Source organism: Homo sapiens, chromosome 13, assembly GCF_000001405.40.
Source record: "Homo sapiens chromosome 13, GRCh38.p14 Primary Assembly".
NCBI classification, from domain to species: Eukaryota; Metazoa; Chordata; class Mammalia; order Primates; family Hominidae; genus Homo; species Homo sapiens.
The window spans coordinates 45,758,725-45,773,118 of NC_000013.11; the positions used below are offsets into that span (position 1 = coordinate 45,758,725).

Consider the following 14,394-nt stretch of genomic DNA (forward strand, 5'->3'; position numbering starts at 1 on the left):
GGCACCTGGAGATGCAGGTGCATGCACCTATCATTGCAGGTCAGCCACTTGCAAGATAAGAGCTTGTGTCTGTTTTTCCACAATTTCGGCTCTTTCTCTACAGGAGATAAGACTCTCACTCAGGGCAATCTTAGCAGATTTGAGGCTCAGTATCTGCTTCTGAAGCCAGGAAATAGAATCCCTGAGTTCATCATTTTCTTTCATCACTTTGTCCACTGAACTTAGGAGCAACAAACCAGGTTCATTGTGTTCCTTGGTTCTCCACATATGGTCAAATGTATTATGTATAGTCACTAAACTCCTTGCCTCTCATAAGCAATGAATCAGGAGTATCAAATGCTTTTATTTTACATAATTCTCTGAACAGTTCAGGCCAAGGACTATCAGTGTTCTCTGTACTATTAGAAATAGGGTCCTTAGCATTTTTGGGTCTAATCATATTAAGCAGCCACTTCAGAAACCCCAAAGCCAATGAAAGAACTCCATCCTTAATATTCTGTTCCTCTAGAACCACTCCTGTTACCAACATCTGTATTAGGGCTCTCTAGAGGGACAGAATTAATGGAATACATATGGGAGTTTATTAAGTATTAACTCACACGATCACAAGGTCCCACAGTATGCTGTCTGCAGGCTGAAGAGAAAGGAGAGCCAGCCTGAGTTCCAAAACTGAAGAACTTGGCGTCCGATGTTTGAGGGCAGGAAGCATCAAGCACAGGATAAAGATGTAGGCACAGAGGCTCTCTTTTTTCATTTTTCTGCCTGCTTATATTCTAGCCATGCTGGCCGCTGATTAGATTGTGCCCACCCAGATTAAGGGTGGGTCTGCCTTTCCCAGCCCTCTGACTCAAATGTTAATCTCCTTTGAAAACATCCTCAGGGACACACCCAGGATCAATACTTTTTATCCTTCAATCCAATCAAGTTGACACTCAGTATTAACCATTGTAGGGTCTCACTCTGTTACCCACGTTGCATTGCAGAGTTGTGATCATGGCTCACAGCAGCCTCGACTTCCTGGGCTCAGGAAATCCTCCCACCTCAGTCTCCTGATTAGCTGGGACTATCAGCGCTCACCACCATGCCCTGCTAAATTTTTTGTGTTTCTTATAGAGACGGAGTTTTGTCCTATTGCCCAGGCTGGTCTCGAATTCCTGGGCTCAAGAGATCTTTCGCCCCTCAAAGTGCTGGGATTATAGGCATGAGCCACCGTGCCCAGCCTTAAGCCTCAGTTTCATCATCTGTAAAATGAGAATGAGAGTACACACCTTAACGGTAGTGCTTTGCAGGTAAAGTACCAACACAGTGCTTAACACAAAATAAGTGGTGATTCAATGTTATTGTGTCAGAGGTGGTAGTTAGCCTCCAAAATCTATTCTTTCTTTCTTATATAGTACTATTTTAGCCCACTTGATCTGGGCATATGGCTGTATGAAATAAAGACTCTTTTCCCCAGCACCCATGAGTCAGTGTGGTCACCCTAGTTTTAACCCTTCAGAGAATCAGACTCAACCCCAGAACAGAAAGGGCCTTAAAAATCATTTTGCTCTTTATTATACAGTGTGTGATCTGAGGCCCAACAGCACGAACATCACCTGGGAGCTTGTCAGAAATACAGAATCTGAAACTCTACCTAGCCCTACAGAATCAGAATCTGTATTTTAACAAGACTCCAGCTGGTCACGGTGGCTCATGCCTGTAATTTCAGCACTTTGGGAGGCCGAGCAGGAGGATCACTTGAGGCCAGGAGTTCAAGATCAGCCTGGGCAACATAAAGAGATCCCATCTCTCTCTCTGTGTGTGTGTGTATATATATAATGTATACAATTAGCTGGGCCTAGTGTTGCACACCTGTAGGCCTACCTAGTTGGGAGGCTGAGGCAAGAGGTTCGCTTGAGACCAGCAGTTCAAGCCACAGTGAGTTATGATTGCACCACTGTACTCCAGCCTGGATGACAGTGGGAGATCCTATCTCTAAAAATAAATAAATAAAATAAAACAGAAACAAGATCTCCAGGTGGTTTGGGGCACCCTTAAAGCATGAGAATCACTGATCTGGCCTGATTCTCTCCTTGTTTCCTCTCCCAAGTTCAACACCTCTTTCGCCTCTCTCATTGCACTGCTACTTCCTTTGGAGTGCTATCAGCTAGCACTCTTTTTCCTTTTGCTTTCCCTCTGACACCCCCATGGGACAATTTGATGCCACCCTTTTGAAAAGTTGCTCACCCTCCAATCCAGGCTCTTGAGACACTCCTGCCTTGCCTCACATTCTGGATGTCCCCAGTCCACTGGGCTTGGCTCTGACTTGGATGGGGACAGTGAGAACTTTTGTGGAACTGTATTTGCCAACTGCCACATGAGTAGTGGCCTATTCCTGGTGAGCCCCAGAGGAAGCTGTTATTGACGTAGGTGATGCGTGATCTGAGGCTAGGCATAGAGAGGAAGCTCGGTGAACCAAACTGCTGGGATAGCTGAGTGACAACAGAACGGGGCCTTTGACCAATGTCACATCAGCTAATCCCCAAATCTGCCAACAAGGACCCAGTGGATACTATCAGAAAGGCCAAGAGGTGAATCGTATAGAATGATTATTTCAGAGTTTGCAAACTGAAGTTGCTGTTTGCTCTATTTCTCTGTACATAAGTTAAAGTTCAACTTTACTGAAAGTAGTGAATGTTTTTTGAGCTCCTACTGCATGCTGGGCTGTGTGCAGGGTTGAAGAAGTGATGGTCCCTGCCTTCCTGTTCACAAATGGAGAGGGAGATATTTGCCAATAACTGAAACTGAAGAGGGCCTGAGCTGGAGCTGTGGAGTAGACGTAGAGATGGTGGGAGTGATGGATCCAGCATGACAGAAGGTGGCAGACACCCCAGCTGTCAACCCAAAAGCCATGGGTCTTGCTTCTTTCTCATTAATATCATTCTAATTTTGTCCAGGTATTGGGTTATCATGGGCTTCAAGGGAGTTGGAGCTTATGTAATTTTGGCAAACTTAACAGGTCAATGTAGAAAGGGAGGATTTTAACTTTTTTCAAAACACATCACTACTGGAAGTAATTATATTCTTTTGTCATCTCTTTATGTCTTTTTAAAATCTGTCTCCTCCCATTGGAACAGAAGACCCTTGACAGCAGGGATTCTGCCTGCTTTGTTCAGGGCTGTTCCCCTAACACTTGGGGAACAACGTCTGGCATGTGATCTGACATTCACATGAAATATGCAGACCAGCCCAGTCAGGCAACTCATTTCAATTCAGCAAATAGTTATTGATTTTCTCTTGTGTGCCAAACCCTGTGTTGGGGCCATGGGGACCTGGTGAACAGATACAGATATGAGAAAACAAACGTAAAACAAGTTACTACAGGAGCCTCATGGTTGGTGAACACATGGAGGGGCTGGGAGGATGATGTGCCAAGAGAGGGCATGGAAGCTCCAGAAGCTCTGAGCAATGCCGCCTCCATCACCACCTTGCTCTGTGCATCTCTATTTTAGCTGTTCCTGAGTTCTGCAGAAGAGAAACCATGCCATGTTTATTTACCTACATGGTTATTTGGTTATCTTAATTACACTTAAGTAGTTATATTTTTTCAACCACTGGTTACTTTCTGGAATTTTATATTGTAAATGAAAAGTTTTTAAGATATGTTTAAGATCAAGAATGTTTAAATGATCTTAAAAGTTGTCAGGGATACCAGTAGCTATATCTACAGAATTTGTATTGTGACCATTGCATTTTTACTAAGAGTAAAAATGATCTTTCAAAACTAACTTGTAAATATATTTTATATCATTTTTTTCTAGATCATTTCTCTTTGGATATCAACCAGAGATAATTTAAACTTTATAAATGCAGCCAGAATTCAATGCAACAGCAGGTTATATAGCAAAAATGTGAAGGTAAACAGAAAGTAAAATTTCTAGCTTTTCTGCTATAGAGTGAAGAAAAATGACTAAGATCAAGTAAAACCAACCCATATGATTTGACTGACAATAAAATGTTTACCATCACATGATGCAGCTGTTTTTTTCAGGAACATAATGTCACTCATTCATATAGTAATCATGCTGTGGAAATGTGTTACCTCTACCTAGTGGATCACAATTGCCTTTAGTCTGTTTGTTTTGTAATAATTGCAGCCAAGTCAATCCCCAATGAAGTTATGGTATGTTCAAACAAACAAACAAACAAACAAACAAAAAACCCAAACAAAACACAAGCTTCTATAAATGTGATGAGTGTTACAGGGTGACAGGATTCAGGGAGCTCAAACCAGAAGGATTTAACCCAGTGCACACTTTAGAGTTTGAGGTGTCAGGAAAGGTCTCCTTGATGCATGAAGGAGGAGTAGAAGTTATCCAGAAAAAGGGAGGTGGGGTTGGTAGGAGGAATAGCATTGCAAGCAGAGGAGACAACATGAAGACACTGAAGAAAGAGGACACAGAGCAAATTCCAGGGCCTGAGAGTTGGTCAGAGTTGCAGGAGAACAGAGAGTGAGGGAAGATGGGTGAAATGAGAATGATGTGGAAAGTAGAGTCAAAGTGGGCCACGTGGGTAGAGCTGGCAGAGACAGAAGGGAAAGTAGGTTGGAGGCATGAACTGGGCAGAGTCCAGACAGAGTCAGATGACTGTGGAGGCCGCAAAGAGGTGAAAGGCAGTGCTGAGTGCTGGGCACTGCAGTCCCTTGTGCACGACCACTGCCTGCAGGGATGATGGCCCCCATGGGCGTCCTGGCCCCAGGCCCACTGCTGAATGAGTGGTGTGAATCCACTCTTAGCGAAAGAACATTGGCAGTAGAGTCTCACTGACCCCAGTAGTACCACTGGGAAGAACCTCTGGGGCTGAACTCACGGTGGTGGGCAGAGAAGAGGTACTTTGAAGCAGAGCTCTAGGAGCTGAGTCAGCATCACTGTGTGGCATTAAAAAATAGTGCTGCACTTATTTCTCATTGTTTTATTGATGTGTGCTCTTAATTTTAATTAAAATACTAGGAGGGAAATGTCTGAGACCTTTCCTGGGGGAGCCCTGAATTTAGCTCCGTTGATAGGGCTATGGAGACAGCAACTCTGTCTTCCTTTCCTCAGTCTCACCAGACCCATATTTCTCCAGAAATACTTCGAGCTTGTCAACTTAAATAACAAACAGAGAGAGGCTTTCTAAAAGAAAGCCAAAATAAATGATATTTATTTTGGAATACAGCATTGCAATGGGAATATGCATGCACAGTAAACTATTTGCATATTCAGGGAGGTAAAAGAAAACAAGGGTTTTTTTAAGGAAAAAATAAGGAGGATTCCATAATTGAGTGATAAAGGTGTGAGGTGTTTTGAAATAATTATCCTTGGCTACAAAGATCAAAAACAAGGATGATACCAGCTCAAAGTTGGACAGGCAGTTGCTGGGCAGTTGTCCTTGCAGAAGTATTTTTTTTGTGTAAGGTTGAGATGGCCTTTGTGCAAGGTTGTGGTTCTTGTAGAGTCTCTTTTGTCATCAGGCATACAAGCAGGAGAACCTGCTCTTCACGGCCTTCCTGGACTCTATATGTCAAGGTTTTCCTAACGTTGGTGACTCCATTTTGATTCTGACAACTTTCACCAGCTCTAGCAGGATTTGCTATTTTAACTCAACTTGATAAGCATTTGCTGAGGCCCCACTATGTGAAAGTGCTAGGTACTGAGGGGGTTACGAAGATGAATGAGACCTTCTTGGCTCAGGAGACTAGCACCTTAGTTAGGGAGAGGTATGGAAACAACAAATCTGGTACTGGAAGGAATAAGTGGACGCTCTCTCTCATGGAGTTCAAATAAAGTGCCCAGGAGAAACAGGTGAAATGGAAACTGGGGCAGGAAAGGTTTCACTGAGGAGTGACCCTTGTACTGAGTTTTGCGGGCTCATATTGTCATGATAGGAGGGAAAGAGAGTTCCAGCAAAGGGAACAGTTTACACAAGGGTCTACAGGAGTAAACCCCAGTTACTGAAGTGTAGGGGATGAAAAATAACTTTTTCTTCTGCTCTCTCAAGTTATTAGTTGGAATGGAAACTGTAACAAAAAGATCAGTAAGAGAAAAAAAAACCAAACTTATTAACACACATATCTCATATATACTTGGGAGACATCCAGAGATGAACAATTCTCAAAAAGGTGAGAATCCCAGCTTATATAGCATCTTCAACCAAGAAGAGTACATTTTTAGAGAAGTGACAAAATGAAGGAAAAGGATTTTGAGTCTCTAGGGGCAGTAAATTGCGGGAATGCAAATAAATGTGGGAAAAACTAGTTGGGAAAGCTTGTGAATATAAATTCCTCTGGTACCATCTCTGGGCTGATAAGGTTCTGTGATACTGTGAAATATATATTTGGTCTTGCCCTGTCATACAACTTCTAAAACCCTTGGAATCTCCAAAGAGATGTCTTTCTGTATGCTAATGAGCTGACTGTTGGCTGGTCACTGGAAAGACCAAGGGAGGATGAGAGGGTTGGAACCTTCAGCCCCACCCTCAACATCTAAGGAGGGAACACGGGCTGAAGGTTAAGTTGACTACCAATGGCCAATATGCAATCAGGCATGCCTACATAATGAAGCTCCTGTCAAAACCCAAAAAGACTGTGTTCAGTGAACTTCCAGAGATTCCTGAAGGGTGGCATGCCTGGAGCTTCCCCCATACCTCATCTTACATATCCATCTCTTCATCTGAGTCTTTTCTCTATGATCAACCAGTAAATGTAACTGTTTCCTTGATTTCTGTGAGCTGCTCTAGCAAATTCATCAAACCCAAGGTGGGGGTCTTAGGATCCCCAATTTATAGCTGGTTGCTCGGAAGCACAGGCAAAACAACCTGGTGCTTGCAGTCAGCACTGGAAGTGGGCGGATGTCTCGTGGGACTGAGTCCTCAACCAGTGTGATGTGATGCTATCTCTACGTAGATAGTGTCAGAGTTGAAGTGAATTAGAGGATACCCAGCTGCAGCCTGCTGCAGAATTGATTGTTTACTTGGTGTGTGGGTAGAAATCCCCACTTATCTAGTGTCAGAAGACACTCATCTAGTGAGAATATAGTGGGAGAAACAGAGCTTGTGTTTTCTACTCAGGGTCCAAAGTTGTCTTTAATGGTTAATGTTTATTCTCCCTGGTGGGGTTGGGGGGAGTTACCTTTTGTCTTTAGAAATCTATGTCCTGCTTTTAGGCAAATAGAGGAAGGGCAGAGAGCTTTCCTACATTTTCTTCTTAATTGCCTTCAGCTCAACAATCCTTCATATTTTGGGGTGGCATATTCCAGTCTCCCACAGAAGCATAGGATGTGGGGTGGACACCTGGGGGAATGCAGCTTGAGAAGTAGCAGAGGCCCCATGGCAATGGCTTTACATGCCAAGCTCGAGAGTTAAAATCCCCTCAGGAGGCACTAGGGATCCATGGTGGACTTTGTAGGAGGGGAGGGACATGGTCTGATATGTGCTACATAATGATAATCTTTCTGGCAGTGCAAAGGGAGAATTGGAGAGGCAAGAATTTGGAAATGTAAGGATTAGGGTGGGGGCTGGCAAATAATAATTTTGGAATCTAGGCAAGACTTTAGAAAGGAGGAGTGGGTCTGAAAAAGAAAGATTAGCACAAGGTATAAAAGAGAGCAGTATTATCAACCCATTTGAAAAAAATGTACAAATAATATAATGAACCTACTCATAATTTCAGAAATTATAATACATTAAGTGTAATATATAGAAGAAGCAGAAAGAAAGCTATTTACAATAACATAGTAGGCATTTCAGTGTGAAGTAGTCATATGTTTTCACCCATACTAAAATCATCATGAGGGTGACAACTGCAAGTACAACGTGATATAATGTAGGATATTTTATGGGCATTTCGAATACCTTGAGAGACATCACCATGTGTGATGTGGTTTTTCTGAAATGTTGGCACATCTGAAATGTGGAGAAGCAAAGATGGAGAGAAAGAATGAAGGGGACGCCAGGTGCCCTGAAGGCGAGGTGAGAAAGCAGGAAGGATTTAAGATGCAGAGAGGAAAGTGTGACCTCCCCAGAGGCAGGGAGCTCAAGAGTGGAGGGTTTGGTGGGGAGGCCCTAATGCCAGTGAGAGCATGCAGGAAAACGTTGGTTCAGGTTATTGTGTTCAAGCTGCCTAGTGGGTCTCTCTGTGTAGCGCTCAGGAACTTCCTGGAAACCCATGAGCTCCCACAGCATCAAATGTGGCAGAAAGCTTGAGGAAAACGAAGACTGAGATGAGGCCACTGAAATTTAACAACAAAGAAATATGGTAGCTCAGGACTTTAAAAAAGCTGAGAAAGTAGAGTCGTGAGGAATGAAGCCAGAACACACAAAAAGAAAACCTTACATTAATAAGTACAAGCAGCAGGTTTTTACAACCAGGAGTGTGGTAACAGACTTCCTCCTTGACCTCACCTGTGTTAGGCTCTCTAAGGCCTTGTCTCAACAAGGCTTCAACGGCAGGCTTCAGTGATTGTCCTTGTGGGGCCTGCATCACCCAGTTTTAGCAAGAATCCTCCTAAGTCAGTTTAGGAGGAAGCCTTCACCCTTGATATCTGATCACCCTCAATATCTGGTCAAATTCCTCATCCCCCAGGGACGCACCTGATCCACTTGGCCTGCCTTGAGCAAGAATCCCGTTAGGTCAGTTTATTTATTTATCTTTTGAGACAAATCTTGCTCTGTCATCCAGGCTGGAGTACAGTGGTCCAATCACTGCTCACTGTAGCCTCCACCTCCCAGGCTCGAATGATCCTTCCTCTCACATCAGCCTCCCAAGCAGCTAGGACCACAGGCACACACCACCACAACTAGCTAAGTTTTGAATTTTTGTAGAGATGTGGTTTTGCCATGTTGCCCAGACTAGTCTCAAACTCCTGGTACCAAATGATCCACCTGCCTCCACCTCCCAAAGTGGTGGGATTACAGGAGTGAGCCACCACGCCTGGCCCCTGTTAGGCCAGTTTAGCAAGAACTCCCCTACCTTGCTGTCTCCTCTTGGTAATTTTCTATCTACCACTCTCCTCCCCACTCTCCTCCTTGGCTGTAAATTCCCACTTGCCATGGTTGTATTCAGAACTGAGACCAGTTCTATACTGAGGTCTTTTTTCTTCTACTGTAATTGTTCTTGAGTAAAATCTATTTTTACCGCTTTAACTACTGTCAGGCTCTGGATTTCCTTAGCAGTTGTAAGGAGTTCCTTAGCAGTTGTGAGGACTGGAGAGTAGAAAATGAGTGTGGGTACTGTGTGTGTGTGGTGGGGGCGGGGGGAGGGAGACAAATGGGGATATAGAGTAGGGTAGATGAGGATGAATTACAATTCATTTGACATGAGTTCTAGTTAAAAAATCTGTTGAATTAATAGAAAACCATATCAAGGTTTTGTTGTTGTTGTTGTTGTTGTGGTTTTCTTAAGAAATATAAAAGGCACCTAGCCCAGTGCTCCTGGATCATATCACAGGCACTTTATCACTTGTCAGTTGAATCCAAGCATTGGGTTGGCCTTCCAGTAAAACAAGCGGTAACTTACCTAAAGAATGTGTTGGAAATGTAATTATTGTTTTCCAATGACCAGGCCAAAGGATCACCTGTGGTCACTGGAGTTTTCTGTTGGGCTAAATCTCCTTGAGGTGGTGATGGACAATTTCTCCATTTTGACATGGGAAAAGGACGATGTGATTTTTAAAAAAAGATTACTCATTTGGCACCAGGCAGCAATGCATGTAGGTTTTAGTTGTGAAATTAAAATATTTAGAGCCTGATCCCCAGACCTCACTCAGGCAGCACAGCCCCTCTGCCCCTCTCTCCCAGCCTGCAGCAGAAAAATTCACCTAATTCCATTTTACCTCCCTGACCTGCTGTGCTTATTATGTTACCTTTCTCCTATTCACCAAATCGTTTGGCACAACTGAATCAGGCTGACATTTTGATAATAAACTCCAGGACTAGTGGAGTTTTCAAATTTGGTGTCTCTTTCCCTAATATGGTTTTCATTGATTCCAGGAGTTGCTGGAGCAGCCGAGGCTTCTTTATAATTCCCAGGCAGAGACTCAGACATTCTTCTGAGTGTGTGTGCAAAATCACTCTCTCTCTTTGTACAAAGATGGCTTAGATTTATTCACAGCTTCCTCTTCTGCAATAGCTCAGGAAGCATAAATGGGTTGGGGGATGGGGTGTGTGTTGAATGAAAATGTTTTGTAATTTCAAAGCAACCAAACAAAATAGATCCTTCAGAATGGTTTTATTTTCTGTGGCAACATAGTTGTGGGCACAAAATCTCTTTCTCTTCCTTAACCCGCATCTGTAGCCTTTTGCACTACCTCGTCACTAGCAGAAAATAGGATTTTTCACCTGCAAATGGTGAAGAGAGAAGAGGCTAGCCTAAACATTAGGTAGAAATTACTTGTCAAGTTTGATCAATTCACAGAAAATCCAAATCCCCTTTGAAAAGGCACAGTTGATACTCAGAGATTAGCGGGGATGTCCTCACAGATCCATTGTTTGGCTAAATTGTCTGCATATGCAGCATGTTTGCTAAATGAGTGATACATTTGCATCTAAATGGTCCATAAATAATTGGATTCTGCTCCAGACAGTGCAATAAACAAGCCCCCTCCTCCTGTTGGGCTTGTGAGATGTGTGAGTGTGGACTCTCTGCTATTGCTTTGACTGTGCTATTATTTGACAAGGCACTGGGGAAGGAGTACATGAATCTATTAACAAGAACCAACTTCCATTATGAGCTGAGATTGGAGTGAGCAGGCAGAGAAATCTTTCATAATGTGCTGCTTTGGCCTCCAGCTCTCTGGGCAAAAAAAAAAAAAAAAAAAAAATTTAAGATAATAAGTAAGAGCAAAAGCTTGGACACGAAGCCCAACACCCCTCTCTGTGCTGCTGCCACTGTAACAATTCTACTTTGCATGTTGGGGAAGGAAGGTGTGAGGTGTTAATTACCATCTGCCTGCTGCTTTTTATAAGTGCATTGATTACCCGTTCCTCCCAACCAGTGGCACCGTCGTGAGTATTTATAGTATACATGTCAATGTGGGGCCCATGATCTACATTTGAGTTGATCCTTTGAGGGCTTTAGCTACTGTGCAGACACGGCCAGGTATGAGGATCACACAGCTCTCTCCCTCCACGTCCAAACTGTTGAGTTGCAGCTCTTAATTTGGGAGGCTGGAAATTGAACAATGGCATCGACAGTTGTCAGTTTCCATGTGCAGTTATGTGATGCCTGTTATGTCAAAACTGTGACTTTTTATAGCCTCCTTTCATGAGATTTGTGATGTTCTGTTCTTTTAAAAGGCTCCAAAGGGACAGTATACCTTGATTTAAGAAAGTTCAATATATTAAATCCAGTTTCACAGGAAAGAAATATAGAAGAATGGTTATTCACTTTGCAAAAGAATTCACAATGGGATTCTTAAAGTGATAAATATTATATGTGGCACTTAGCACGTGATTTAGTTCATTGTTTCGGGAATGTGTCTATGGGCAAAAGGCTGTCTACTGGAAGAGTTCTGGTGCTTCTTACTTCAGATACTTCAGCCTTTGCTCCCCAGCTTATGCTGGCATGAGGACCGTCAAGTACTCAGGTGAAAATCCCAGTGGTAGTTGCCTCTACTCCCCAGTTTTATTCCTGAAACTCCAAGTTTCTCATATTTTACTGTGGCAGATAGCATAAATTGGCTCACTTAACCCAGGTTCCAGTGCCCTTTTAATTTGCCTTCCTGAGCTAGAGTGCCTAAAGGCTAACATCCATATTCCCCAGTTTCCCTGGCATTTAGGAATCCTCATATGATTTAGAGACTTAATCTTCTGACAGGCATAGCTGGTTCTTCTGGGGCAGCTGGGGTAGAGTTTCTGCCACTAAAGTTCAGTCCCTCGCATCAAGGTGCCAAGCAGCAGAAAGCAGCAGCAGCGGCATTTCTGCTAGAAGAGGTCTGTGCTGTAGCTCGGTGTTTCCTCTGGCTGCTTTGCCCCTGGCTGTCACTCTCTAGCCTTCCTGTTGTCACAGCAAAGGGAACTTTCTCTCCACCCTCTGAAGGTTGGATAATTGAGTCTGTTGACATAAACTGACAATAGGCAGATTAACAGGGGAAAAGGCATACAAATTTGTTAATATGCAAACACACACAAAATATGAAACTCAAAGAAGGGCCAGATTAAAGCTTACATACCCGCTTCCTAGGGAAGAGGGAAGTGGGGAACATAGGCAATTTTGGAGGAAGAGTAAATAGTCTCCAGGGGATAAGATAGGCCTGAAAAACAAATAATAGCCTGGAACAAAGTTCTTCTGGGCTTGCGGGGAGGTGGTGACAAGTTGTGGGAAGGTGAGGGGCAGAACTGCACTGGGAACAAAGGTTGTCTTACAATGAAGATAAAGCCTCTCAGGTAATATCCTTCAAAAGAATAGATGAAAAGTCTGTCTGGGTGGGGATGTGGTGATGACCTTTGTTTTCATCTTTGGTGATTAATTCTTCCTGGTTAATAAGATTTCAGACAGGGATTAAAGACAATTATATTTCTTTTGGAGAAACTTCCCTCAGTCAAATAAGAAAACTTCACAGAAAGAGAGAGAGAGAGAGACCTTCCCTACCCTTGGGGGAAAAACAAGATAAGAGAGACCCTAATTCTGAAGCAGCTTCTAAGACCTTCCAATTTTCTTTAATTCAGAGTGCTTGGCATGCCAAAGCACCATATATTGTTTTCTGAGCCCCAATGCTATAAATGACCGAATATTTTCTGATTGAACTAGCTAAAGTCGATTTTGTTGTTTGTAACTAAAAACCTTGACTGATATGCCCTCCCTTTCTTGTGTGTCCTGGGCACTCAAACTGAGGACTACTGTACACAGTTGTGCAGATAGTGCACTGTACCATCCAGAGGCACCATTCACATAAGCTTACCAACATTGTCTTATGAATTGCTGTCCTCTTGAAAGGCTGTTTTCTTTCTTTAGGTTCTTTTTTTGCTCCTACTGCCTTAGTTTGGGCCTCTATTTCCACCTGAGTGTGAAGGGAGAGTTTTCTACAAAGATCACAATTCTTTCAGCCCACAAGAACTCCAAGAGATTAAGCTCTTTTGGGCTATTGCTTCTTTTGTCCGCACTCTTAGAACAAAATTTTTGAGGGGTTGGGTATATTAATCATTTATTTTATTTTCCATATTTTATGAGGCTTTGACTTCTTAGGGCCTTGCAGACCTAGGGGGCATACTGCCCATCCCAGGGTTAGCTAATTGCTATCGTGAGTGAACAGTTTACCTGAGAGCATGTATTTAGTACGCAAACCAACCAATCCTGAGTTCGCACCCTCACCATCCTTATTTTATCTGCTCCTACAGTCTGTCCCCCTACCCTAAATTGCCCCAGGGCCAGGAACCAGAAAAATAGAGCTCACCCCATAGCTTAGAGCCTATTTATTGAAACTATCCAATCCTCAGCCTGCTCGGCTGCTTACTCTGTTTCACCCATGCCTTCTGTGAAAACAACAGTAAAGGTTTTGCCCAGGCTTTTTCCTCATTCTGCTGCTTCCTGATTGACCTTGTTCTTCCCTGTGTGGCTCTCATGGTGTGACATGCCCCTTTCTCTTGGAAACTGTAATAAACTTTTCTTTTAAAAGAGGATGTCTCCATGTCTGTCATCTCGCCACATAGTATCATATTCCAAAGTGTTTATCTCTTATCATGAATTGGATTTCCCGAGACAGAGCCCTGACATTTTAACTGTCTTCTGCCTCAGGAAATTTACTTGCAGGATTCCCCAGCAATGCCTTCCTCCTCATTGCTATGATGAAGACTTCATCCAGATGTTAGGGACAGGTCCTGGGCCATCAGACTCAAAGCCACTTTTATCATTTATTTCAGGGAACCTACATGCTCCATATGAGTAAGATTCTGTAGCCTGCTCTTGTAGAATCTTGGATACAAATACATAGATTAAGTTTCCACAGTATGCTGACTTTATTCTTATATTTGGGAAAAAGCCCAGAATGCCTTTATCATTTGTAGTTACTCTACCCAATCCTTAAACATTTAGGGAATTTCAGAGTGAAAAAGAACCCCAGGAATAACCTCATCAAGGTATTTTCTCTATTACTTTTTTTGTTATTCAGTGCTTTTCCATCCAACCTTCTTCCTCTTGAATAAATTCCTTCTACCATCTCCCACAATTGATTATCCTGTTGCATCTCTTTGAACGTTAATTGTTGTATGTTCTAATGCAGAGTAGACAAACCATAGCCCATGGGACAAATCCAGATTATGCCAGTTTTTGTAAATAAAGTTTTATTGGAACACAGCCACATTCATTCATTTACATATTGTCTATGGCTGCTTTCACAGTATAATAGCAGAGTTGAATAGTTGTGATAGAGGCTATATAGTCTG

At 42.9% G+C, this 14,394-nt stretch overlaps 2 annotated features.

Annotated features, from left to right (window-relative positions):
• Positions 9,902-10,423: an enhancer, noted in NCBI's record as "OCT4-NANOG-H3K4me1 hESC enhancer chr13:46342761-46343282 (GRCh37/hg19 assembly coordinates)". NCBI's record gives its function as "activates a minimal SCP1, AML or CMV promoter by ChIP-STARR-seq in naive H9 embryonic stem cells {active_cell/tissue: H9 hESC(naive)}" and the evidence as "EXISTENCE:reporter gene assay evidence [ECO:0000049][PMID:30033119]".
• Positions 10,424-10,945: an enhancer, noted in NCBI's record as "OCT4-NANOG-H3K27ac hESC enhancer chr13:46343283-46343804 (GRCh37/hg19 assembly coordinates)". NCBI's record gives its function as "activates a minimal SCP1, AML or CMV promoter by ChIP-STARR-seq in naive H9 embryonic stem cells {active_cell/tissue: H9 hESC(naive)}" and the evidence as "EXISTENCE:reporter gene assay evidence [ECO:0000049][PMID:30033119]".